Source organism: Homo sapiens, chromosome 10 (genome assembly GCF_000001405.40).
Source record: "Homo sapiens chromosome 10, GRCh38.p14 Primary Assembly".
NCBI lineage: Eukaryota > Metazoa > Chordata > Mammalia > Primates > Hominidae > Homo > Homo sapiens.
The window spans coordinates 51,846,737-51,874,134 of record NC_000010.11 but is presented as its reverse complement, the minus strand read 5'-3'; the positions used below and the strand labels follow the sequence as shown (position 1 = coordinate 51,874,134).

Sequence of the window (27,398 nt, the reverse complement as noted above, 5' to 3'; positions counted from 1 at the left end):
GTAATCAAGATTTAGTGAATATGCCTGCCTGCCATTTGAGGTTGCTGTTAAATTTGGCTCAAATAATTTTCCATACACTGGCTATGGGCCTTAATTTTCCATCAAGTAGCTAAAACAGATAAATTAAGGTACAATGAAAGTAGACTTTTACTTCAAAATGGTGGTAAATTTAGTACAATAAAGTATAAACAAGATAGAGGACTTGTTTTAAAAAAAATGCAAATAAATGAGAGTATGAAGATCATAAATTGGTCAATACTTACGGAAAACATTTCTAATGTTTTGGCTATAAAAATTCTGTTTCTTGGCCGGGCATGGTGGCTCACGCCTGTAATCCCAGCACTTTGGGAGGCCGAGGCGAGTGGATCACTTGAGGCCAGGAGTTCAAGACCAGCCTGGCCAACATGGCGAAACCCGTTCTCTACTAAAAGTACAGAAATTAGCTGGGGCACGGTGGCACGTACCTGTAATCCCAACTACTTGGGAGGCTGAGGTGAGAGAATTGCTTAAACCCGGGAGGCAGAGGTTGCAGTGAGCTGAGATCATGACACTGCACTCTAGCCTGGGCGACAGAGCAAGACTCCGTCTCAAAAAAAAAAAAAAAAAGATTATTTATTTTATTAATTTAGAAATTATTCAAGCTAAGAATGTAGAGACATAGATGATTAGATAGACAGGTGGATAAATAAAAAATTAACTTCAATTAACCTGAAAAATTACCAGTTACAACTCTCACATAACTAAATTTTGACTGTACTACAGTTTTTAGGGTAGAGGCTGAGTCCAAGTTTAATATCAACAAGAAAAGCAGTCCCTGAAATATATCCTTTGGTAAATAAAGATTAAAATTAATCCCATGAATCCCATAATTATAGTTTTCTTAAACTATATGGCATTATATAATGAAAACAAAAATTATTATTTTGAAATCCTGTAACATCACAAATCATCAAGTTAAGTTTGAATGATATTTATCATGTTTAATAAGACAGAAAGAAGGACTGGATCTCTTCAAGTCAAAATCCTTAATACTGAAGAATTAAAATAATTAGGTATTTGATATTATTACATGTGAATTCCAGTTAGCCAGTGTTTTACTGCATCTTCCTAAAACAAATGGTGCAGATATAACTATATAGGCTTGAGAAGTAGAGGTCATACAAACATTACGGTAAAGAAAATTTTATATAAAATTTTATTTTTCAATTTATTTTAATTTCCTAAAATCAATGAATAATCATAGAACTAGGCTCTGAACCTAAGAAAATAGGTACCCTATGAAATTGCTAATATTCAGCCATCCCAAACTCAATAATTTCATATGGTTTACCTAGTACAAAAAGGACACTTATTAATTTTATATACATACATTGAGTATCTGCTGTGCAAGAGTTGCTGTGAGGAATACAATGATTAATGAGACAAATAAAAATGCTACTTGCTTATAAATAATTTACAGCATATAAGGATTTACCAGTAAGCACGTGGTAAGCATCATAACAATATGGAGGAAAAAACTATATAGTTATTTAATGATGCTAAAAGAAATTTTTTAAAGGTTTTAAGAAAAATTGAAAAAATTATAAGTCTTGTAGTTAATTTATCTTTGCCACAAGGGAAGAATGCCTTATTGAATTTAACCAAATTCAGTTTATTGAACTGAATGCACAGAGCCAAAAGTCTCTCACTCCACCAAAAACTAATAGTCATCACGTTAATAAGAATTAAAGAACTGCTACCATTTTAATATTTCCTATATGCCAGATACTGGACTAAGCACTTTACATAAGTTGTCTCACTTAATTCCACAAAAAATCTATGAAGCAATAAAAAATTCTGATGCTATAGATGGGGAAACTAAGGCAAAAAAATACAGTAAGTTGCCACAAGTCATACGACAGCTAAGAAATTGCAGAACTGGGATGTGAATCTGATAGTCCTGATTGCCTTTAGGTAAAGTTTCCTAATGTTCTGTGCAAAGTACTGCATTTGTGAAATGAATCTAGACTTCAGGTGCAGAGGAGAGGCGGAGATGAAGTACGCAAAACAAATGAAGAATGGGCCAGGATTGATTAGCTACGTAATTAGCAGAGCTTAGTGCAAAATGAAAATGCAGGGCTCTTTGTTTAAAATGGAAAAGAAAAAGTCCATTAAGGGTACTAACAAATACAACTTTTATCCTTTCTTCCTCCCTCTACTTGTTGTGATATTTTGTATTTGCTATGTAATGTTTTACTCTTTCAAGCACAGGGATGCTCCGAGGCAACTGCCAAGCCCTATAGGCACCTGCACCATCCACCCCCTGCAGCAAGACTCTGCACATGTATAAGCCACATGTGCCTGCGGTGTTTCCCCCTCCCTCCAGGTGTTGGACCTACATGCTGTGCACTCCAGCCAGAGTTGGGGGAAGTCAAGTCAGGTAACTCCTCTTCCCACAGGCCCACTGAACTGTAGCAATCCATGGTGGAAGCGTATATTGCAACCTTTTTGCTGGGATGGACTATGTATTTGTATGAAATGAAATGGTGGGCAAGAGGATCTTTCCTGATGATTCTCCCACCAAATGTGTCACAGCACTGACAGCTTGGGGCTGGGACAGTAGCCACTATTATCTGACTGGAGATACCACAGAATTTGCATGCCCATGCCCAGGCTCTTGCTGTGTGCAGTGGGCAGCAGGTAGGATCAGGATGGGGAGGCCAGGCTGGAACAGGGCTATGGGTGATTCAGAACCAGTCCTAGAGATGGGGGAAGCAAGAAGACGTGGGATCACACATGAACCAGGCTTAGAGTAGCTTCATTGTTCCATATGACTCCAGTTATAAAAAATCACAAGTGAAATTATTAAAACTCTACTAACAGTGACCATACAGCATTAAACTCATGGTTACTACCATTCTACCATAGCCATGTTCTGAAAGGAGACAATGGATATTTACATGAAATGCAATATCAGGACTGAGGAAGTCTGAGAGACTGTAGCAAAATCAATTAAATGACCCACAAAAAATCAGAAGCTGTAACGTATTGGTGTTAATTAAGAAGTACTTCCAACAGAGAAAAATCAAGGATTAGAAGACCAGTTGTTGTATAGTAAACAATTACCTTCAGAGAAGACAGAAATGATTAGAAATCATTTTCTCCAAGAATAGAAAAGAGTTCAGCTTGCCTAGGGGGTGGGGTAAAGTGGTTGAAGAGTGTAGAGTAACTCAGGCTGATGTGTGTGCTGGAGACTGGAGCAGCCCCATGAGCAACTGTTACAAATCCAGAAATTTTCTGAGTTGGATCTTCAGTCACTGATTGCTTGAAATCAATTACAGTGTAGATATTTATACCACAGAAATCACTACATTGAAGGTTGCAAAAGTTTATGGCATGGGAGCATGGAAGAGCCTGAAAGCCAAGTTAGTAGTATTTTATTTGTAGGCAGTGGGGAACCTTTCATCTGACCTATGCGATTCTTCATTAAAATGAATCTGACAGCATTATAGATTGTATTGGAGGGGAAACTGACAGAATGAAAATCAGTAGGTCACTGCTATAGACAAAGGCAGAAATAATAGAACAAGAAAGATGTAAGACACCCCAAAAGAACACATTAATCCATGAGGAAACTGATAAGATTAATTGCAGTTAGGGATGGAGATGGTGGGGCCCTAAAAAGTATCTCCTAGGTTTAAACTTCAGTACATTAGGGACAAAATGGCCAAGCAGATGGACGGTGAAAGGAAGAGGAGAAATCAGAAGAGAAAACAGAGGATATTTATCACATTACTAAATGACTTAACTCTGACAACACTGGAGGAACAAGACGTCTTTTATAAAGAAATTTTAATTCCTGATCATCATTGAAAATCTAGTAAAAATCAACCAATTCACATTGGGTCACTTGATTTGGGCACCTATAACACCTTATTTCCTAACAATGCACAATGTAAACATTGCTATTTACAAAAGCCCCTGTAAGGAGTAAAGCTAAAGCGTTTAAGGTCAGAATTGCATTGCCTTAAGAAAAAGCCATCACAGACATTTGTTCATTGACTTTTTTTTAAACTTGGAAAATAGTTTGTTGGGGGAAGTATGAAAGAGAATGCAATGAAACACTAATTATCTTGAGTTGTTCAGGGAAGAAGTCTTTCACGTTGCTGTGATTTTCTTTGTAAGGTAACTGAGAAATAAAAAAACATTTTTTTCTTCAATCCCTTAGTATTGAAAATGCTTCTAAATACATCTAGGTTGCTTTCCAGAGTAGTAATACTTAACATTATAATTCACAAACATATTTTCATTCTCTACCTTTCTAGTTAACAGTCTGTAAATTAAACACATCTTTGTTTCAAAATTAAAATTCAATTGTAATGTGATTTCTGTGGAATTTAAATATAATGATATATCTTTATTGAATCTATAAAATATTTTTCTCCTTTCTCTCTTCATAATTATGCGTAAGTCAGACTATATAAGTATGCACATAATGTTGTTTGTTTCATATAGAAATTTCTCATTCCATTTTCTATTATCTCTTAGAACATAGTTCAGGGTGAAAAAATGATGGTAAGCCAGATGAGCTAGATGATAAGATCTTTGAGTTCAAGGGCTGGATCTGTCCTTTTATCTCCCCTGCATAGGTTTGTTTCTTTGATTTTGGTACTTTCCATTTTCCCTTATGGAAGTTTTATTTAGAATGCTGATTGTTTTCTAGCTACAAAGCAGTCACAAAGTAAAACATACTTTATTAAAAAAAAAACAGCAGTTATACAGAATGGCCATAATGGACCACAATTGATAACCAAAATTCTTGTCTATGATAAACAATGCATTTAAAGTTATGTTGACCTGGAGCACATCAAACACATGGGTAAATGCATTTAAGGCAATGATGGGATTACTAGTTATGGCTGGAAACAACTCAGAGACTGAGAAGTACGGTTGGTATCAATTTTCTCAAGCAAAGAAAAAACTAAACTAAGAAAGGTGCAATCGCAATGTGTCAATATCAAAATGTTTACACTAAAGCTGAATATTCATAGATTGAAAGTCATATTGCAAGATTTAGTTTGAAAGAATTTGAAAACAATCAGTCCGTAAAAGAAAAAGACCCAATAAATATTATAAATACAAATAGAGCAATAAAATTATTCATTGGAAAAACCAAACCTGGGAAAATGCCCTAAGCACATTTAAATTAGAAAACAAATTTATCCAGTGTTCTAGCTTCACTTATTCAACAAAATCCCTCTTTATATGCACTCATTATAACAGAAAAAGTCTAGTTTATCCTTGATATCCTCAGCAGAATTCACACCTTAAGGTTCATGTCCTAGGAACTTAATAAATATATTAATACAGGCCTTTGGGCTTTCTGGATCTTCAAGGAAGTCCATATTATTTATGCAGGTAGCTAGTACATGTTTGACACATCAAGGGAAATAGATAGCTTTTCTTGAAGTAGGGTGTTCTCTAAGTATGTTGGCACAAAGAAGAATCTTTAGGGGGAAACTGTGGGTTGGGCAGGGCACTGTAAAGCTATGAAGATCTTCCTCTTAGAGAGGTAATGATAGACAGAACAGGGGAAGATATGCCTCCCAAAATGCCAAGGCTGAATATTTTCAGTATCCTACAGATGAAAAAAAATTGGATAAATTTAAGAAAATAGTAATATTTATTCTTAATATATTATCTATTAAACTATTTCTCTTTGCCACAAACAATGCTACCATGCTTCTTATTGTTCTCACATCAAAGCTAAATTCTTCTGGTTTTTAAGCCATTTTGTAAGAAGGCCTTATTTTCCCCCACCTCCAGCCATCTCAGTGCTCCATCATGCCCTCTGCTCTAGTTGGCGCTTCATCCTTACTGTCCCATGGGCAACCATGCTGGTTGCTACTTTCACTTTTGTTCTCTTCTCTTGGAAAGCTGCCTGCCTCCTACTCAGTAATCAAATCCCATCTTTGTATAAGTCGTCCTTGCTTATTCCAATATTGCCAAGTTTTTCTAAATTCTGACCACCTACACTGCAGAACCATACAACACAATTCAGCTGATAGACATTCTCCATTCCATTTTCCTTCCACAACATTACCTAAGCACCAGTGAGTCATTTACTAGTCACTGGTATATACAGGCCATGCGTAAGTGATGACAGACAAAACCCAAAACCCAAGGAATTTATACGTGAAGTCAAGGGTAAGATACAAATGAAACCATACTTTAAATTTTCTTTTTTAAATAAAATGTAACTAAATTTTTGTGTATGTTTGTTAACTTTTTGTTACCCTCTCAAGTTCTTAGAGGACAGAGATCTTAGATCTTGATTACTTTACGTCTTTTCAATTCAAATATTAGAATTCTTACAATTCAGTATTCACTCTGCATATCATTTTCATAACATTATCAGAAGAGGGTACTCATCTAGAATTCCCCCTCTTGTCTCTGTTCAGCTCCATCCCCAATTTTGCTAATTCTCTGATTTTCCAATTCACAGTCTATATCACCTCCGACAGTTACCCAAGCTGGGCAGTTTCCTAGACTCCTTCCTTTTTCCCTTGCTTCCCCCACATTTAACTCATTCACCATGGCCAGTTGATTTAAATTCCTAAGTCTTTCTCCAATCCATCTGTGTATTTCCATTTTCCACTGCCCTGGCCTAGGATCATGCCTTTGTCATTTCTCTCCTGATCAATCACACCACCTTTATTCCTCTCCCCTCCTTCCATCTCTTCTCTACACTGTTTCAGAGTGATTTTTATTAAATACACATCCAACCACATCCTTTGCCTGCTTAAATTTTCTGATGGCTACAGATATGCCTTTTAAATAAAACCCAATTATTTAGCATGGAACATAAGGTCCTTCATGCACTATTCCGCTACTTCCCTCTCCAAGGTACTTCCACCTGCCTTTATAGTCTCAATATTCAGAAATGTTGAAATTCTTGAAACTCTCAAGGAACATTACATGTCCTTAAACCTCTGTGCATTCTACTTCTCTGCCTAGAATGATTTTTCCTCTGCTCTGTACCTTTTAGGCTACTTAATGAATTAAACATTGAACACAAGTGTATGGTGTATGGTTTTCTACAGGAAGTCTCCTCTGAGCTCATCCTATTCTTCATCCCTCAATAAAATCTCTAGAGTTGGTTAAGTACGCTTTAATGACACCATTTTATATACCTCCATCATGAAACTCTAAAGTAATTGTCTGTCTTCCCCATTAGACTGAGGTTTTGGGGATAGAGAGTTCCTTAAGGAAAAATGCCATGTTTTACTCCATCTTTGTAAACCTGTATCAAAGCACATTTCCTGGTAGTATAAAGAAAGTTTTCAGGAACACTGAATGAATGCACAGACTAAGTATTCAAACACTTCTTGCCTGAACTGACACCAAGTTCTTTGAAGAATAAACAGAATTTGTGGTATTTTATATGTCTAAGAAGAAAAACATTAAGATTCACTCCATTACAAAAGTGAAGATGTTTTAAATTAGTGTACCTCATGGGCAGAAATAAATACATCAATTTACCAGCAACTTCTCCATTGGTAAATTGATAAAGTAGAAATCTCACCATCAATTAGAAAATCCAGAAATTATCTGAGGTATTTCATTTGTTTCTTTTAAGCTTTCTATTACAGAAAGCTTTAAGCTAATAGTAGATACTTTAAAATATTCATCATTCCTATCTGATGTTATAATTATGCTGGCCTTCAAAATAATTATGTTTGGCAATATTTCTTTCATTCTTTCCAGGGATGGCAAATGCTAATGCCTCTTTAAATTACAGATTGACATATATATCTATGGTTTCAAATGCAGTCCCATATGATCTATATACCATTCTGTGATTTGATTATTTAAATGAGAATGCTTATTTTAACTTTCTAATATTACGTAAATTATATCTCAGAAAATTACTTCATATTTAAATGAATAATGAAATTTATTACACAAATTTTTATATTTAGAATGTTTAAATTAATATATCTCATAAGCAAAAATAAGCGATGATGTTTTCATATGAATACAACATATCAGTCAACAATTATTTTACTTAAATCCTGTAGGTTCTCTACAAAGATTAACAGAACATAAACTCACACTTGAATGATCATGTGACTCAAGAAAAATCCCTGGGATAATGATACATACGACTGAGAATGAAATAATATACACATTTCAATATTGAAAAATTCCAATACAATACTGATCTTATTTAATCTATATATTTATGTTCCATATTCTTATAAAAATGCCTTTATTTAAAAAATAATGCTTATTATATATTTTAAGAAATTCAAATAAAGTAATACAGAAAGAACAGAAGAAATGCTTACAAATAAATTTTAGTCAAACATTCAATCACTGGAAATCAGATATTTTCCCTTAGCACAAGTTATACCAAACCATTCCTGAGTACTCTGACCTGAGTGCCAGTCCAGAGGTAGTGAGAGGGTGTATCCAAGCATGTACATTACTTTAATTGTAGTTTTAATGCCATTAAAAATATATGTATAGACTTAATTGAAAAGATCTTTCAGCAATACTCTAAATGAAATTACATAATTACATTTTTTTCTAATATAAGGCAGATTCAGGAATGGAAAGGTCAGAATCAGGAAAAGAGAAATGAAGTCCTATGTGCTTATTAGTTTCTTAATTTTATAATTTTTCATACTCATCACAATGAAAATAATGCTTAATGCCTTCAAAAGAATAGTACGCATAGAAAGAAAAATATTCTTCACTATTAGAAAAGTTTATTAATGCCTTGTTGTAAATTATACCTATGTTGTAAAATTATAAAATTGGCAATAAACACTCTCTGATGTTGAGTTTAATTAGATAAGACTATGTAATGGTAACAAAGTCATAATTAAGCATTTATGTAATTGAACTAATTTCATCATGAGGTTATTTTACTAAGGGTATACATACAGCACAATAGCATTTTGAAAGCAATATTTTCACTATACGCATCTTTAATGATTAGATTTTGAAGAAATACAAGTATTCTCTGATATTCAGCAACACTAAGAGTTATTTATAAATTTCTCTGAGAATGTGAAATCCTCCTATAATTCATTAATGTAGCTGGCGTACAATATAAATGTTCTGCCTTTAACAAAATTCAACTTTCATTTATATTCCATAATTATCCTGGCCCAAGACAATTATCAAGAGCACACCTTAATTGATTTACAGCTTCATAATCTGCAAGAAAGAATGAGGTGACATACAAAAATTCTCCTGTTGATAAATAAATATTTAATATTGGGATTTACAGAAAATAAATATCAAGTTGAAGTCAAGACAATTATTTTCCAGGCAGATGTGAATGTACAAACAACAATTTATTCCAAAATCTTTATTTCACTCATCTTAAATAAATGATGCAGAGATAAGTGATTGGTCTGAAACATATTGTTGCTAGAAATATAAACTTTCTGTTCAGACACCAACATGTCATAATACCCAACCTACTGTAAATATACCCAATCTTCTAGTTTCACTTCAAGTTCTAGGGAAATGCCATATTTTAAATGAGTATGCTTTGGTAAAATATGTATCTGCTTAATGGAGCATAAAAAATGTTTTAACATGAAATGTTCTGAAAGGGATTTGAGACAAAATACATTACCTTGCAATTACTACGTGAGAGTCAACAGATTAGCTTAAATGTGATATGCTGTGTTGGGTACTATCTAACTCAATACATTCCAAACTTTTTAAAATTATCATCACACATGTAGAATATGAAAATATTTATCAACACATAGAGTAAATGTACAAATCTGCTTCTAGAGAAAGGCCACTGGCCCAGAGCTCCAGCTACTCTGATGGGCAGAGGAACCAATAACTCAGTATACCTCACATGTGCAGCCTATTATAGCACACTCTATGGGAAGGTTTGATTATAGTAGTAGGAAATAGTTTCATGCCTCATGCCAACTCAACCAGTTAGTAGAGATGTCTTTAGTGTAGAGTGACCATCTTATCCTTGTTTGCAGAAGACATTTCCACCTTAAAACTGGAAGTCCTGTGTCCAAGGAATCATGTTCAATCCCAGGAAAACTGGGGCAGTTGGTCCCCTAATCCAATGGGATGCTGGGAAGGATGCTGACATTGCATCCAGGACCAGTTGGAAAGAAATGACATTGGTTTAAGGATAGAGTGGACAAGTGAGTCTCCTCCTTGTGTGCCAGCTAAATCCTTTCCATGTGAATTAGATATACAGGAAATTGTTGATAAGCAGAGATGCAAACAGAGCTGAAGGACAGAGTTGAAGCTAAACATGAAAGAAATATAAAGAGACCATCTTAGTCCATTTTGTGCTCCTATAGCAGGACATCTGAGCCTGGGTAATTTATAAGGAACAGAGATTTCTTTCTTACAATTCTGGAGGTTGAGAATTACAAGGTTGAGGGGCCAAATTTAGTGAGGGCCTTCTTGCTCTACCATCTCATGGTGGAAGGGCAAAGAAAGGGTGAGAGAGAGCAGGAGATGGAATTTATAGCCTCACATTCTCATGAACTAAACATCTCCCATTAGGCCCCACCTCTCAACTCTGTTGCATTGGGTATTAAATTTCTAGCATCTGCTTTTGGGGGGACACATTCATACCAAACCACAGCAATGACTTAAAGAATAAAGGCAAGAAAATTAAAGAGGAGGTTGAGATTGGTGGCACAAAGGAATAAGAAAATGAAAAGTGGGTTAAAATAAATTTTAAGCATAGTCAGGCAGTATAAGAAATGGAAACAAAGACCATCAACAAGTGACAAGTACTTTTGAAATGGAGCCAGGTGAACACTGTCAAGATAGAGATTGCTTAAGAATCTCACTGTGGTCCATTCTTGCTGGGCAATATGAGATGCACCAGTGGACCATTATAGCCCTTAACTTCCCTATACTGCTTTCTAGAAAGTTAACTAATTAACTGGTTAATTCCCTAGGGAACCAGGATATCATATCAGGGTCATGATCTGGATTAGCATGAGATACTCTGGGGTCCTACTGATTTATATGGGCACAGCAAGGAATGATGAAAAATATGGGAGTGGCATGCATTAGAGAAATGGGAGAGAGTAAGAGAAAGAGAAAAGAGGATATGAGATTTATATTCTCGGATCCCTCCAAATCACCAAGACACCTGATCTTCAATATAGGGCTAAAATTTATGTGCTATCAGTAATATAATGAAAATGTCAGTGATATTATATTGATAATTTTGGTGATATTTGAGCACTTACATAGGCCAGGCACTGTAACATAGGATTTATATACATCTCATTTATTGCTGTAGTCAGAATACAGCTACCCATATTGCTATAAAAATACACATGTTGAAGATTGACAGTGGCAGGAGGCAGACAAATTCCTAGGCAGACAGAGGTAGGTCCCCAGAGAAACCCAACCTTGAAGCCAAAGACAGCATAAAGCCTGAAAACTGAGCTGCCAGTTCTGAGTAGAGTATGACCAGGGACCTTTCTCGATGCCTTTTAGCCAATTGAATGGTGCTTTTTTCCAGGCCCATCCATGGACCAATCATCATGCACTCCCCCATTCTGAGCTCATAAAAATCCCAGACTCAGCCACACATGGGGCTACCTGTTTTCGGGCCCCTTCTCACACAGAGGGCTACCCACTTCAGGTCCCCTCTTGTTGTAAAGAGGTTTTCTGTTGCTCAACAAAATTCTTCCCTGACTGGCTCACTCTGTGGTCATTCTTCTTGATCATAGGACAAGAACCCGGAACCCACCAAATGGTGGGTGTGAAAAGTGCTGTAACACTGTAACCCTCCCTCCCACTTGCCAAACAACAGGGGAGAAAAAGCTGCTGGGCACCACAAGCTCCCGTTTACTGAGCTGTGGGCACCAGGACTAAATGAGCTGTGACATGCACCTGTTTGCCATGCTATGGGCAGTGGGAACAAATGAGCTGTAACATGAATGAGCTATAACATCAATGAGCTATAACATGCCCCTCTCCCCCATTGTTTGCCACACTGTGGGCAGCAGGAATGAGACAGAACTGTAACATTTCTTGGGGGCTCAAACCTTGGGACTCCCTAGACAAGGGCTGTAACACCCTTTGGGACTCCGTGGTTGCTGGTAGTTTGTGGGTGCCACCACGTTCCCTTCATCTAGATGCAAGCACCCAACATGGAAACCACTTGCCACATGCCTGGCTCAGATGCCCAGATCAGGACTGGTAGTGTGAGCCAAGTGCAGCCTGTTGGGCCAAGTGGGTTGAACGAGTCCAGCAGGCTTGAGCAAAACCCAGGCAGAGGCACCACCTGCCATGAAGGTTTCCGGCTGGCAAAAGGGCACTGAGAGGATCCTGTGTCAGGATGACAACAGAAACACTTTTGTGTAAATTTATAATTGAGTAAAAACTTTCATGATTTGTTATTCAAAATCACTATAGTTTTCATAAACAACTCGTAAAGATTTCTATTTTTAAAGTAAGAAGTATATGTTCTGTTACTTGTAATTCTATAGCTAATTTTCTATATTGGAGAAATTTATGAAAAAGATATAGGAGCTGCTGTAAGGCATGGATCTGACTAGTTGTCATTATTACAAAATTACAAAACAGAATGATTTACTTAAGACTGCAAGCCAAAGAAAGCACTAGAAAAAACTAATGTAATAGACCCGGGTATTTCTGATGAAAAAAATAATAGTTCTAATAAATATAAAAATAGTAACAACTTCAATGATTTTTTATAACTACCTGCTGTGTTACAGTGCTGAGAAAGACACTGTTGGAGTAGAGAAGTAGCAAGCAATTAAATTTTATAACATCTGTGATCCAACTAGAAGCAAAACTCTATCCAAGTTGACAAATGTTGTTATTACATAAATTCTATTTTTCTACCCTTACTGACTTTTTCCATAAGACAGTGAATTTGAGCTTAGACAGCGGTCTTTGTTTAAGCATATTTGAACTCAGACACCAGACTGACAGGGTTTGAATGTTTGCCACTTAACTTTGCAGCTGTGTGATGTTCAATGAGTACCAAAGCTCCCTCACCTGTAAAATGGGTATACTTTTTTTTTATCTCATAAAATGCCATAAAAATATTGGTAAAAGGGCTTAGCTCATTTGCTAGGCATGTAGTGAGTACCCAACACATGTGTGATACATGAATGAATTCCTGCTCTGAAGAGATTTCTTTCACTTTTCATATTTTCTTTTCAGCCATCACTTTGGTTCTTTGAAATTTACTCCAGCTTTCTATTCAGCTACTGAGCTGAACCATTACTTAGACCCTCCCTGCTCCAAAGCCTTTTCTTATATGCTTTCCATTATTCTGCCTCCTCTTGCTTTGGTCCAAGTTATCAGATCTGCCTATCCTTGCTTCCAATTCTAATCTCTGAACTGGGTATTTTTGCCAAGTTCAACAAAGTCCTTATTTCTATTTTTTTAAAAACATCCACAAATACATCATCCCTCAGCAAACCTTCATCCCCAAGAGAGTTGCAACTGAATGGGACCTTAGAGCACGATGTGATGGGTAGAGGTAGGAGCAGTACTGCTGGTGTAACCATTAGAGATGCTCACCAAGTAGTGCAGACTTTTCATGTTCTAGGCAAACGGGAGCACAGTACTCCCCCACCCTGTTTGGAAACTGGGTATGGCCATGTGACTTGTTTTGGCCAAGAATATGTGGACAAAAATAACTTGTGTCACTTCCTTCTGGGCAGAAGTTTTGAGAACCAGTAAGTGATTCACCACGCTCTCTTTTCTGCTGACACAGCTAGCCTCTGATGATATTCCAGATAAATAGCTGTTCTTTCAGGCTGGATCCTAGCTTGAAGACAACATGAAGCAAAGAAACACAATTGACACATAGGTATGAGCGACAAATAGGTGTTTTTACTTTAAGCCACAAACTTTGAGGGTTGTTTTTTCGAAAGTACAAACTTACCTTTCTTGACTGAAATAAAAGTCTCATGATTAAGAGCACACCTATTCAAACCCCAGCTCTACTGCCTAGTATATGTATGCCTTTAGGGTACTTATTTACCCTATTTTTGGATGACTTGAAGAAATGTACTTCCCCTATGTCTGCCGCAACTTTTACATCCCAGTAATACAGGGATGACACGAGTACCTAATTCATCTGGAATGAGGAATAAAAAGGTGTCACATGTAACATACGTAGAACTATATATGATTAGTATTTGCTATATGCCAGTGGCTAATAGGGCCCACAAAGAAAATATCCCTGATCTAAGGAGCTTAAAACGTGGTAGGAGAAATAAAGCATATATGAAAATTACCACACCTCACAATGAAAAGTATTGGAACAGCGATTCAAGCAAACTAGTGTGGAATGTTAAAGAGAATTTTTTTGTATGGGAAATAGAATACATGGTGGGCAGTATGGGATTTTTAATGGACCTTGAGAAATGAAGGTTTGGAAGGTAAAGATAAAAGGGATTGGGGAGTAGGGTGGTAAGAACATTTCAGATGATAAAAGTAGCATGCTGTAATTGCCATGTGCATTTTTGTAAGAATATCTGTGGTAGAGTGTTAATTTGGCATGTAATATTCAATTATTTGTTCATGTGTCAGAGTTTCTTTTTTTCTTTTATTTTCTTTCTTTTTTCCTTTTTTTGATGTGGTCAGGATCAGATCAAGGGCTGCATCTATTTTTTTTTAAGTATGTCTTCCCCTAATGTAGTGAAACACATAAAGGGGGCATTTAATAGGCTCTGTTGCAGACTAAAAACATAAAGATCTCTTACTCTCTTCACATGAAGAAAAAAAAAAAAAGAAAGAAAAAGGCTTAAGGTGCCACTGGAAGTTTTAACTATTTACCTGAGTTTAATACCTTAGCACCCGGCCATGTTTGCACAGGTGTGGGTGTATATAATGTCTATAATTCTATGCAGAATCTGAGTCTTTGAAGGGAGCCCACTTCAGGGCTTCCGAACATCTGTGTAAATACACATTTGAACGCCAATTTAAAGGGAATCAAATTTATGGATTTAAACCAACCCTAGGTCATTAGCCAAATCCCCAATTCAACATCTAACATCAGAAATATTCCTTTCCTCTGGGCCTCATCACTTTCTCAAATAAGCAGGAGCTTTTGTTCTATCGAGCAGGCCACTTTGGGGGTTGAGACAAGTGCATTGTGTTAGAGATACCCATTGATATCAGCTCCTTGGGAAGCAAGGAGAAAAATCAAAGGAATATTAAAGGCAGAGGTGGGTCCAGGAGAAAAACTGTTTGCCTATTGAGATAAAGACCCTCTAATCCATTAGAATTAGCGATTCAGGGAAAAAGTGTTTAAGGCATAATGGGAAAAGCCTGTAGCCCAGAGCAGGTTTGAAAGTGCCTTTATTGAATTAAAACTTTAAGCATTTTGAGAGTAAGAAGGCCTTTTGAAGGTACCTCCTTCACCATCTGTGGCACCACACCTGGAATATGGCAGGCACCCAGTAAATGCTTGTTTGCTAATAAACGCACAGGTACAAAAATGTACAGGCATGTGAAAGGACCCTATGGTACCAGTTACAACATGACACTATAGGTGCAAAATGTTTTAATAGGGTTTTTTTTTTAGAATCTGCAATATGTTCATGCCTGAATGGCTAGGAATTCAAGAATGCTCAAATCAAAGCACATTTATATTTTGCTGAGATTGTAAGAAAATCCTGAACTTTATTCAGGTAATGATAACTAAGACTATATATATATATTATATATATATTTTATATATATTATATATATTATATATATATTTTATATATATTATATATAATATATATATTTTATATAATATATATATTATATATAATACATATTATACATATATATATTATACATATGTATAATTATACATATGTATAATATTATATATATGTATAATATGTATTATATATAATATATATTATATATATGTATAATATGTATATATATAATATATATTATATATATGTATAATATGTATATATATAATATATATTATATATATGTATAATATGTATATATATAATATATATTATATATATGTATAATATGTATATATATAATATATATTATATATATGTATAATATGCATATATATTTCCTTTTATGCCATTAAATCTGGATTTTCCTGCCTTTAAAGACACACAGGCTTCTCACTAATGCGGACCAGTGTTAAAAACAACATAGAGAATCTAGGTAATAGCATCCATACATTTTATTTTTCCTCAGCACTAAAAATAAAGTTACTTTTCTGCTTAGCATGTTTTCACCGTCCTTCAGGGTGGGGGAACAGTGCTTACAATGACGTTCTCTCCATTGGCTTCACAAACACCCTAACCACTATGTGCCCTGAATGTGATTACATTTTGCTACCTTTGAAGAGAAGAAAAAAAACATTGAGAAGAAAAAGAAATCTGGCTGGCTCTAAAGAAAAAGCCTTTAAGTACAGCTTTAAACATTTTAATAAGCAGTTTATTTCCCTTCCGCTGATTGCCCTGGAAAAAAATAAAATAAAATAACACGCAAACAAAGCCAGGATTGATTAGTTCTTCTCCTCCCCCATTCCCAACTGCTGTTCACTCAGCAGGAAAAAGAAAATCACAGTATGGGACTCAGAATCTTATTCATTAGCATGTGTGGCCCTTCCTGGTGGATGGTCTACTTTCTCCACAGCCCCCTCCATCAGTGTTTGCTGAAATCTGAGAGGGGGAGATTCTGAAGTCCTCGAGCAGGTGTCTATGCTGGCATCACAAGATATAACAGATTTAAAAAAGGCTTTGAAAATAGTAACACATACTCAAATGAACATTAGTATTAGAATTAGTTGTCCACGTGTTAAAGATATTAACTACTATTATTATACAATGTTAGTCTTTTCTGAATAAGGCGATCCATTAGAAGAAAGACTACTCTGGCTCAAGGCATTCTTAATCTATCTAGCTCTTCAGTTTCACTGGAAAGAGAAATCTGTAAAGAAACAAATCAACTTCACCCCCAAAATAATCAAATGAAATGTGAAAATTAATTAAAGATGACATGTGAAAAGGCTAAACTGTATCATAATTGTGAGTATGACCATCAGAAGAACACCCAGTCACAATTGAAGTTGCAAAGTTGCAGCAGCAGTAAAGGCTGTCCAAGCCCTTTCTTTTTACTTTCTTTCTTTTTTTTTTTTTCTTTTTTTTAGTAAGACGGAGTCTCGCTCTGTCGCCCAGACTGGAGTGCAGTGGCGCAATCTCAGCTCACTGCAACCTCCGCCTCCCAGGTTCACTCCATTCTCCTGCCTCAGCCTCCCGAGCAGCTGGGACTAAGGCACCCGCCACCATGCCTGGCTAATTTTTTGTATTTGTAGTAGAGACGGGGTTTCACCGTGTTAGCCAGGATGGTCCCGATCTCCTGACCTCGTGATCCACCTGACTCAGCCTCCCAAAGTGCTGGGATTACAGGCGTAAGCCACCATGCCTGGCCATGTCTAAGCCTTTTCTTTGTGGCAAACATTGCTCTAAGCTCTTCACTTACAATATTAATACTTCGTTATATCATTACAATAGCCTTATGAAGTGGGTTCTCTTATAATGGCCACCTTACAGAAGAAGAAACTGGGGCAAAAAAAAGGTTTAAGTTAACATAAGCAAAATTCTCACAACTAACAGCTGCTGGAGTAAGAATTTGAACTCCTGCAGCCCAATGAACTGCTAACTCTATGGCTTCCCATGCAAAATTAGCAAACGGCTTTGCAGTGAATAGCAACAAATATTTGTTATGTGACTTCAAGGATACTTACATCTTTGCCTAACTAGAAAATGGCAGAGCAGAATTCTAACCTGGGGTAGTTGGCTGAATAATGGCCTCCCAAAGATGTCCATGTCATAATCCCGGAACCTGTAAATATGTTACCTTATATGGAACAAAGGGACTTTGTGGATGTGATTAAGACTTTTGAGATAGGGGGATTATCCTGGATTATATGGGTGGGCTCTAAATGTAACTGCAAGGGTCCTTATGGGAGAGAAGCAATGACCCCATAATTGTCCTTATGGGTCAATGGGGCAGAAGGTGGTGATGTAACAATGGGAGCAGAGATTGAAGGGATGTGACCAGAAGCTAAGGGATGCTGACAGCATCTAAAAGCTGGGAGAGAAAAGGAACAGATCTTCCCTGGAGTCTCTGGAAGGAACCATCCCAGCTGGAACCTTTATTTTTAGCACTTTATGACATACTTTGGATTTCTTCCCTCCAGAACTATAAAATAATAATTTGTTTTCTTAAGCCGTCAAGTTTGTGGTAATTTGTTACAGCAGCAGTAGGAAGTGAATACACTTTGGATTTCTCTGTTTTGTTTTGTTTCCAATAAACGCTTTTTTCTTGGATACAAAACTGACAGGAATTTACTTTGTTGATGGTCTATGTTTTAGTATTTTCCAAGTAGTAGCACTAAAATTCCCTCAGGAAATCCCTTAGTCCAGAGACAATTGGTCACCTTATTTTTAAGTGAAAACATCATAAATGGAAAGAAAAATGAGGTCCCTTAAATAGGAGAAAATAATTTGTTGCCTGGGATTTAGAAGCAAATTCAATTTCATGCTTGCCAAATGACTTGCTTGGACTGAGAGAATGATTGTGCTGGACATAGAAGTAATTGCATTCCTCACACCAGAACACAGTAGCCACAGTTCACATAGAGTGGAGCAGCAGTTCAACTAAACTGTACTGGTAAAACCATGAGGACTACTATGTAATTGTTAAACTCAATGTTAAGATGGCTGCTGAGGAAATGTGTCTCCCTCTTTCCAACCCTTCACCAGCAAGAAGATCTCCAGTTACTCTAGAATAGAAAATCAGATTGTCTGATATAAAACACACTATCTCAGAAACAGACCAGATGAGTGACAGGGGACAAGTCATGACTCAATCAAGCCTTGCCTGATACTTTAATTTAGGCTGAAAGATAGAGAGTACAGCAGGATCCTTTGAAATAAGTCTAAGCTATTACCATTTTTCTTACTCTGACAAACAATGTGCTACTAAAAGTTTTAGGAATAATAACCTTTTACGACATTATGCTGAATGATTAATTCAAATCACCGAATTGCACTATTTAAGAAACCAATTTATTATTTGCTATAGTTGCTTTAAAATGGTTTTAACACTCATCCACTTTGCAGTAATCTAAATTTATCAGGCACAGTGCTATTTTCCTCCACCCTTCCCAGTTCTCTCATCTATTTAAACCACATATATGCACTCTGTTTAGCTGCTGGTGGGCGCAAGTCCTTCACTCAGTATATATATTTTTTGCACATTTTTTGCACATTTATATTTATTTTCTTAATTTATAAACTCGTTGTACCAAAATGATTTTTTAAAACAGTGAGAATTTAATGGGGAAACATTTTGTTTCTCCTCTACCACCCCAGATTACGCTAACTTTAGTTTGGTGTACATCCTCCTAGACTTTTCTCTAAGCCTATATAAACTAATTCATGCTTATGTAGGTGTGAGGTTTTTTCTTACATATTTTTGGCAACTTGTTTCTTCTTTTTTTCTCACTTAACTTTATAACGAGGTTGTCTTTTCATTTTAGTACATAGAGATCTGCCTTGTGATTTTTATAATGGTTGTGTTATATTTCACAGTACATAATTTATGTTACCATTCCTCCATTGACTAAAATACCGGTTATTTCCAATTTATTGCTAACTCAGTAAATTCTCCAGGGTGACATTATCATGTGAATTATGCCTTCTTTACTACTGGGTGACAGACAAATATTGCCCTGTCCCCAAACACTGCACAGAGATATCGATGTAATCAGATGTTCTTATCTGATTTGTCTTCTCAGTGAGCTGGTTCTATCAAAGCTATTTTTTTGTCTTTCTTTTCATTTTAGAAAATCCCAGTAGGTCAAATCAAAAAGGGAAGATTAAAGTATTCTACCTTAATAAAAATGCCTGCCACACAGAGGGAGGTTAATAATGCCTGTTGACCAAATGACTGAGTGACTATGACTCGTGTATCAAATTTTAAACTTAAATTTACTCATCAATTTTGCTCCCCATTAATGAATCCCCAAATTTCTATATAGAGGGGCCAGGAAGTATTAACATCTGACTTCCAAAATACCATACATGGGAACATTTAGTAGAAACAATTGCTGTTTTTTGAAGTGAAAACAATTTTGCAAGTCTGCATTTTACCACTTGCTGGTTGAACAATTAAAAAAAAACACTTGGAAAAAAGGAATAAATGCTTAAAACAGGAAACTTACAAACACCCACAAAATGGCAATAAAATTCCAGTGTGTGATTAGATAACCAGCTGTGGAAAAGTGTTTAGTACAGTAGAGGCTGCTTCTCTCCCAAATCAGCCTTTTCCTTGAGACTTTAACAATGCCCAGACCACACATTTGGTAATAAATATATATGATGCCTGCCTGCAGAGCACAGATATAAAATGCCAAATCCCATGAAATAGCATATAGTTATTTAGTATTTTGAAAGGTTATTGTTTTCTTTGCAAACATACTTAAGCTACTACTGCTAAAATTCAGGAAGACACTGCTGTCTGCTAAAGAATTATCAGCCTAAGGAAAAGTCTTTCAAGGATGTTAAAGTACACACTGTACTAATAGACAATTGAAAATGTTATAAAATATACTCCTCCACGTGTGCTATGATTATAATGGGTGTTTTATTTTTCCTTGACATTCCCTTATTCTGCAGGTGTTTTCGTTTATGCAAACATATTCCTGCAGTCTAACCACACATAGCAGATGCCAAACACTGATTTTTCATTTGGGATTTGGATATGTCTTTGTAATTTTGTTTCCATTTTGAGGTTTAGGCACACAAAGAATATTTATTTACTATCCATTGTACACAACTTAGAATAGTTTCTGGCACATAATAGATGCCCAAGTAATAAATACTAAATAAATACTAAAACATCACGTCAGTACTGTGGTGGGGTACACAGGTGATGTATTAGAAAGAACATTTGACTAGTTCTTTCTCTGATCTAGAGAGGCAGTATGATTTGAAACAAGATACCAGATATCACTAGCCCTTACTTTCTTCAATCATCTATAAAACATAAATATATCACCATGTTTTGTATATGTGTACACCAGTTTGAGGGAGTTTAATGGAGGGAGGGAAGTCTAGATTATATATTTTCCTTAGGCTTCAAAATACTTAACAGTTTAAAAATAATATGCCAGTCTTGAAGGAACTGATAAAATCGTAAACTATTTTATAAAAACTCATCTAGAAAAAACACTTCTCTTTTTATGCTTAAATGCATTTAAATTAAAATATCTAGGGACATATAAAAGCAAAGTTACTCAAGTTCACAAACATCTGAAATACATAATTTTGTGGTGCCAGATGACAAGAAGTTATCTGATGAAACTCATGGATCAAAGTATTTGTTCTTAATTCCCTCAGAATTTAGAAAACTGGTGGATTTTTAATTTATATGGTATATATGCAGTATTCTTATATATGCTCATGTGTATAGGTTGAACTACAAGGAATAATAACAAGGACAGGCTTTGGATCAGACAGACTGGAGTTTCACTTTTGGCTCAGGTACTCACCAACTATGTGAACTCCAGTTCTTTCATCTCTAAGATGTACATGTCACCAGCTACCACATGGAGCTGCTATGTTTTAGAGCTCAATTGCTTGGTTATATGTTAGCAATACAGGACCTGCAGCTGCAACAGCATTCTGTTATTCACCTCTACCTCTGTTTCCTCTCTCTCTCTCTCTCTCTATGTGTGTGTGTGTGTATATCTATGTATGTGTGTGTGTGTATATGTATATATATACACACACACACAACCTGTTGGAGAAAAAACAGTATTAGGCAAATCTAAGTTATTACATATATATACTTTATATATGACGTGTGTGTGTGTGTATATATATATATATACACATATAAAACTTAGGTTTGCCTAAACTTATATATATAACATATATGTTATATATAACTTAGATTTGCCTAAACTTATATATATATCATATGTAAATATATATATAAGTCTAAGTTTTATCTATATAACTTAGATTTGCCTAAACATTGTTTTTTTCTCCAACATGTTAAAATAATAAAGAGCCTGCCGATATGGTTGCATAAATCAAAGATGGCAGGTGCCTGAAACATGTGTCTATGTCTTTCCATCCCTTGACCATGGCGAGCATCACTAATTTATCATGGCAGTCTTTACTGCTAAGGCCACAAAAGCCTGCAGAATCCTTCCCACGACAGCACTCATGGCAGGTCCTACTAATCTAATGGACTAGCTTTTAATTTATTCGCCAACCTTGGTATCTGTGTAGCAAAATGTACGTGAGTGTCCAGAACATTATCAGCATCTCAACTGAGTTCCTTCATATCCAGAAGAGCATTGCATTAGAGAAAAATGTCAAAGCATTTTAAGCATACCTGCTATTCATTCTTACTAAAATTTATAGCGAGAATGAAGAAAAACTGCTGTTCTAAATCTTGACATTTTAATAGTTCTTTAAAATTAATTTTGGAATAGGTAATACATTTAAATGAATCAAAGAAATAATGTAAAAAGTATATACACAGAGAAGTCTTGACCCTGGCCCATCACCTCCATAGGCCTTATTGCCCTACTTCCCCATAGGGAAGCGTTTGTCAGTCTCAACACTGTTGATGGTTTTGGCTGGATGATTCTTTTTTGTGGGGTGTGTGAGGTTGTCCTGTGCATTTAAGGATGCTTACTAGCACAATGAGTCTATATCCACTAGAAGCCAGTAGCAACAACCCCACCCACAAACTCCACTTGTAATAACGAAAAATATCTCAAGACATTGCTAAATGTCTCCCAGTTGAGAATCTCTGACCTAAATAAAGGTAACTATTTTTACTATTTATCTTTCCAGTCCTTTTTTATGCAAATTTAAGCAAATAAGGATGAATACATGCTGTTAATTTCTCCTCTTATTCAAAAGGTAGCATATTACCTTTTGCTACCTTTTCCTGATTATCTATTAACAGCTGCATAGTATTCCATAATTTATTTAATCTCCTAATGATGTATTTCTGGGTTGTCCCAAAAGCACTGAAATACTGAAATAAACATCCCAGCACGTTTGTCATTTTGTAGGGGCATGACCATATCTTTAGGATAAATTGTCAGAAGTAGGATTGCTAGATCAAAGGTAAAGATACCTATAAAGCATTTGGGATCTTATCAGATTCCCCTCCAGTAGAGTCTTTTTTTCATTTTTACTTACATCTAAAACGCATGAGAATACCTGTTTCCTCTCAACATTGTCAAAGAGTATGTTGTCATAGTTGGAATGTTTACCAATCTAAAAGGTGAGAAATAGTGTAACACTATAGTGTTAAATTTGCATTTTTCTTATCATGAATGAGGTTATTTATCTTTTATACGTTTAAAAACTATCTGCTTTCTGTTGGTTCATGACCTTTGCCCATTTTTCTGTTAGGCTGTAGGTATGTTTTCTTTATTTCAAGAAACTCTTTACATATTAAGGAGATTGCTCTTTATGATATGTAATGCAAATGTTTTCCCTCAGTTTATTATTGGCCTTCTGGTTTTGCTGATGGTATCCTTTTTCTATGCAAATATATACATATACATATACATATATATATATATAAAATTGCAACATGGGCTGGACACTGTGGCTTATGCCTGTAATACCAGCATTTTGGGAGGCCAAGGCAGGTGGATCATCTGAGGTCAGGAATTTGCGACCAACCTGGCCAATATGGTGAAACCCCATCTCTACTAAAAATACAAAAATTAGCTGGGTGTGATGGTGGGTGCCCGTAATCCCAGCTACTTGGGAGGCTGAGGCAGGAGAATCGCTTGAACCCGGGATGCAGAGTTTGCAGTGAGCTGAGATCGTGCTATTGCACTCCCACCTGGGTGACAAGAGCAAAACTTCATCTCAAAAAAATATATATATTGGAAAGTGGTCAAATTTATGCCAATAAACTTTGGGGTACAAGTAGAAAGATCTTCTTGGCTTCAAGATTATAAAACAAGTGAACAATGTTTTCTTCTATTAATTTTTATTTCATTCTTACACTTTCAAATCCTTATCTATTTGAAATTCATTCTGGCGTACACTGTGAGGTATTGTTCAACTTTTTCTCTTTCCAAATGACTAGACTGTTTTTCTAACTCATTTTATTAAAACATCTACCTTGATTCCACTGATGGAGCTATGTCTGGACTTTCTAGTTTGTGTCCTTGATCTTTTTTAAAAAAACTACTAAAATTCTGTATGCTTAAGGCCCCATCAAACCTGAGTCTGCCCCTGTTTGAATGTGATAAGTTTGAAAGTTAGGTTTCTAAAGGAATATTTGTATATAAAATAAGTGATAATATTATTATTTCATTTAAATATAAATCTGAAGAATTTTAAAAGTATGACAATAATCATGAAATATCAGGTAAGAAGAGAATTTGGTGATTATTAAATTCAATTGTTTGGAGAAAAAGATGGTTGCATTGAGGTAGAGTGCAAAACAAGGCTGGAAAGGGACTTTGGTGTAAAATTAATAGGCCATTGGATAGAAGAGATCTCTGGATAACTCCAGAAAAAAAGTGCAAATGGATTCAAGGAAAACAAATCTGAGTAATCAGGTAAGAATCATATCCAGAGAGAGATAAGGAAACATAACTTTGCAGCGAATCAAGATAAGACCAGAAATAAAAAATGTGCAGAAAGGAGGAGGAAAAATCCATATTCATTGAGTACCTTGATATTCGTTTAATCACTTAATACTCGTTTTATGGCTGACCATTCTAAGGCTTTTTCAAATGGTTAGGTAACCCCCCAGATTATTTTCTTTACTGTGTGGCAGAAATAAAATTCAAACTCATGCCTGTTTGGCTCCAAGAACGATGTTCTTTTCCCTATGTACTAACTAAATAGAATAAAAGCAGAGGTGGGTTAAAGAATGGGAAGATGATATATGGAATGGGTTTTGGTAGGATTAGAAGGCAAAGAGCATTAAGTAGACATAATTGGATAAAGCAGAAAATAGATATTTTTAGAAATAAAAAGAAGCATTAGCTAGTTTGAGGACAAAGTTGCTTAGTGCTATAAATACTACAAAATACAGGACCTAAACTATGATTTTGTAGTTTAAATATATTGCAAGGTTTCTAGCAATAAAATGATATCATGACATCAACATTTAAGAACTGGTAGTCTTACTGGAATAGAGAGAACCAGAACAAGGTGAAATCAGAGAAACAGAAAGTGTTAAAAAAAAAAAAAAAATAGAAACGCAAACCATAGACTCTTTGCTTAAGGAAAATGCACACATAGGCTGAGAAGTGGCTTGTACCTGTAATCCCAGCACTTTGAAAGACTGAGTCAGGAAGATCACTTGAGGCCACAAGTTCAAGACCAGCCTGGGCAATATCGTGAGATCTTATTTCTACTAAATTATAAAAATATAAAACACACACACACACACACACACACACACACACACAGATACAGACACACAGAATTAATGGAACTCTACTCCCTGATGATCTTCTGTCTCTAGGAAATAATTCTACATTCATATGAAAACATATTTTACAGAAGTTTAGATGGCATCTGAGAACCAGTAAAGACTGAAATGCTATATGTCAACATATGAACAAGCTTATAAGAAAACTGTCCAAGTGTTAGTGTTCATTTATTTACTTCTCTTTAATCATGATATTGAAAAGAAACAAAAAAGACGGGTGCGGGAACCATAAAATAGGCTGCTTTTGAAACTAAGGTTTGGAGGTGGAGTTTGTTTTTATTTCACTAGTTATTTTTTTCTCCATGTTACATCTAAAAATATGTTTATACCAACCCCAAATTCATATATATCTTAATTTCAATTTGAGTCTCACTAATCAGGGGATTTAGCAAAAAAGAATAAAAATATCCAACTTGCAATACCTGTTGTAATTAACACATACATCTTTGAAATCTAGCAGGAGGCATGTGGTGTATCCACTGTTTGCTGGGCTGTATTTTGGAATGCTTCCTATTGTTATGTTAGGGAGTTTCCTAGCATTTGGTCCCCGGTTATCACTTGCCAAAGCAACACTGCTGAAAGCCTAAGGAAATTTAGAGGGACGCAGAGGTAGGCAAGTAGTAAATACTTTTAAAAACCATGAAACGTCATGCATAGAACAGTATATTTAATGTATATGTACAACTTGAAAAAAAGTGCTTTAGACAAGAGAATAGAGTTCAGATTCTCGGTCTTTTTTTTTTTTTTTTTTTTTTTTTTTTTTTTTTTTTAACAGAGTCTTGAGTCTCTCTATGTTGCCCAGGCTGGCCTCAAACTCCTGGGTTCAAGCACCTCAGCCTCCCTGGCCACTGGGACTACAGGCATGCACTACCACACTCAACTTAGAGTTTAGTCTTTTAACTCACTGTTTCCATGTGTATGGTGAGAGAGGAGAAAAAAACTGTCATTATGATGTTAAATTACAGAATTAGAATCACTAAATTTAGCCAATCTACAGAAAAAAAAAATCATTGTTAAATGCTGTCAATAGATCATTAATTAATTAATATGCTTTATATATAATAAAATTTTATTTAAATCATCTGGAGAATCATTTGCAATGAGTAATTACATATATTGGTTTTCTCATTTTAGATTTTAGTAAGTCATCACATTTAGATATAAAAAAAGGTTCATTTTCTACTTCAAAAATCATGAAATAGGCTTATAATAATCAGCTTCCCTGCCAATCACTCCCTTATTCTGTAACAAGAAAACTTATTATTTTTTGAGAGATTATACGCATATTTGCTTTCAGTTTCAATCATCACTCGTTTTGCATTTGTGGTTTTGAGTGACAAGTAGCATTGTTTAGTTCATAATGGCAGGTAAATTGTAACAAAGTATTTCTATATTGACTAAATTCTTTTGGAAATTAGAAACACAAAATGTTAGAGTTAGGAGTAGCATCATAGATCATCAGCACCTGCCTTCATTTTAAATATTAAAACCTGAGATTCAGGGAGGCCAAGGAATGTGATGCCATTAAATGACAGTGAGCAGCTGAGCTGCTATTAGAATAAAGCTCTCATGACTGTCTCACCTACCTTCCCCATCCAGCCTCCTACTTGATCTACTTTATTTTTTTAAAGATGCTCTCTGAACTCAGAATTCATATCACTGATTTTAGCAGCACTTGATGTATATATTTTTATGCTATCTGAAATAATATTATTGCAAATTAATTTATAACCCAATTTCAAGATAGATATTCCCATTCGAGGATCAAATCCATTCACTTACAAAGTGAATACTGTTGTCCAATTAACCTGCTGAAAAAAAATGATTCAGTTTAAACTTGTATCCTCAAAACATCTTCAAGCAATTAAGAGGCA

At 35.5% G+C, this 27,398-nt stretch overlaps 1 protein-coding gene across 5 annotated transcripts in view, besides 1 other annotated feature; it reads right to left on the bottom strand.

Moving 5' to 3' along the window:
* PRKG1 (protein kinase cGMP-dependent 1) overlaps positions 1 to 27,398 on the bottom strand; it is a 1,307,463-nt gene that overhangs the window by 424,216 nt on the left and 855,849 nt on the right. The gene's annotated exons all lie outside the window — the stretch shown is intronic.
* Positions 25,763 to 26,265: an enhancer, noted in NCBI's record as "NANOG hESC enhancer chr10:53607630-53608132 (GRCh37/hg19 assembly coordinates)". NCBI's record gives its function as "activates a minimal SCP1, AML or CMV promoter by ChIP-STARR-seq in naive H9 embryonic stem cells {active_cell/tissue: H9 hESC(naive)}" and the evidence as "EXISTENCE:reporter gene assay evidence [ECO:0000049][PMID:30033119]".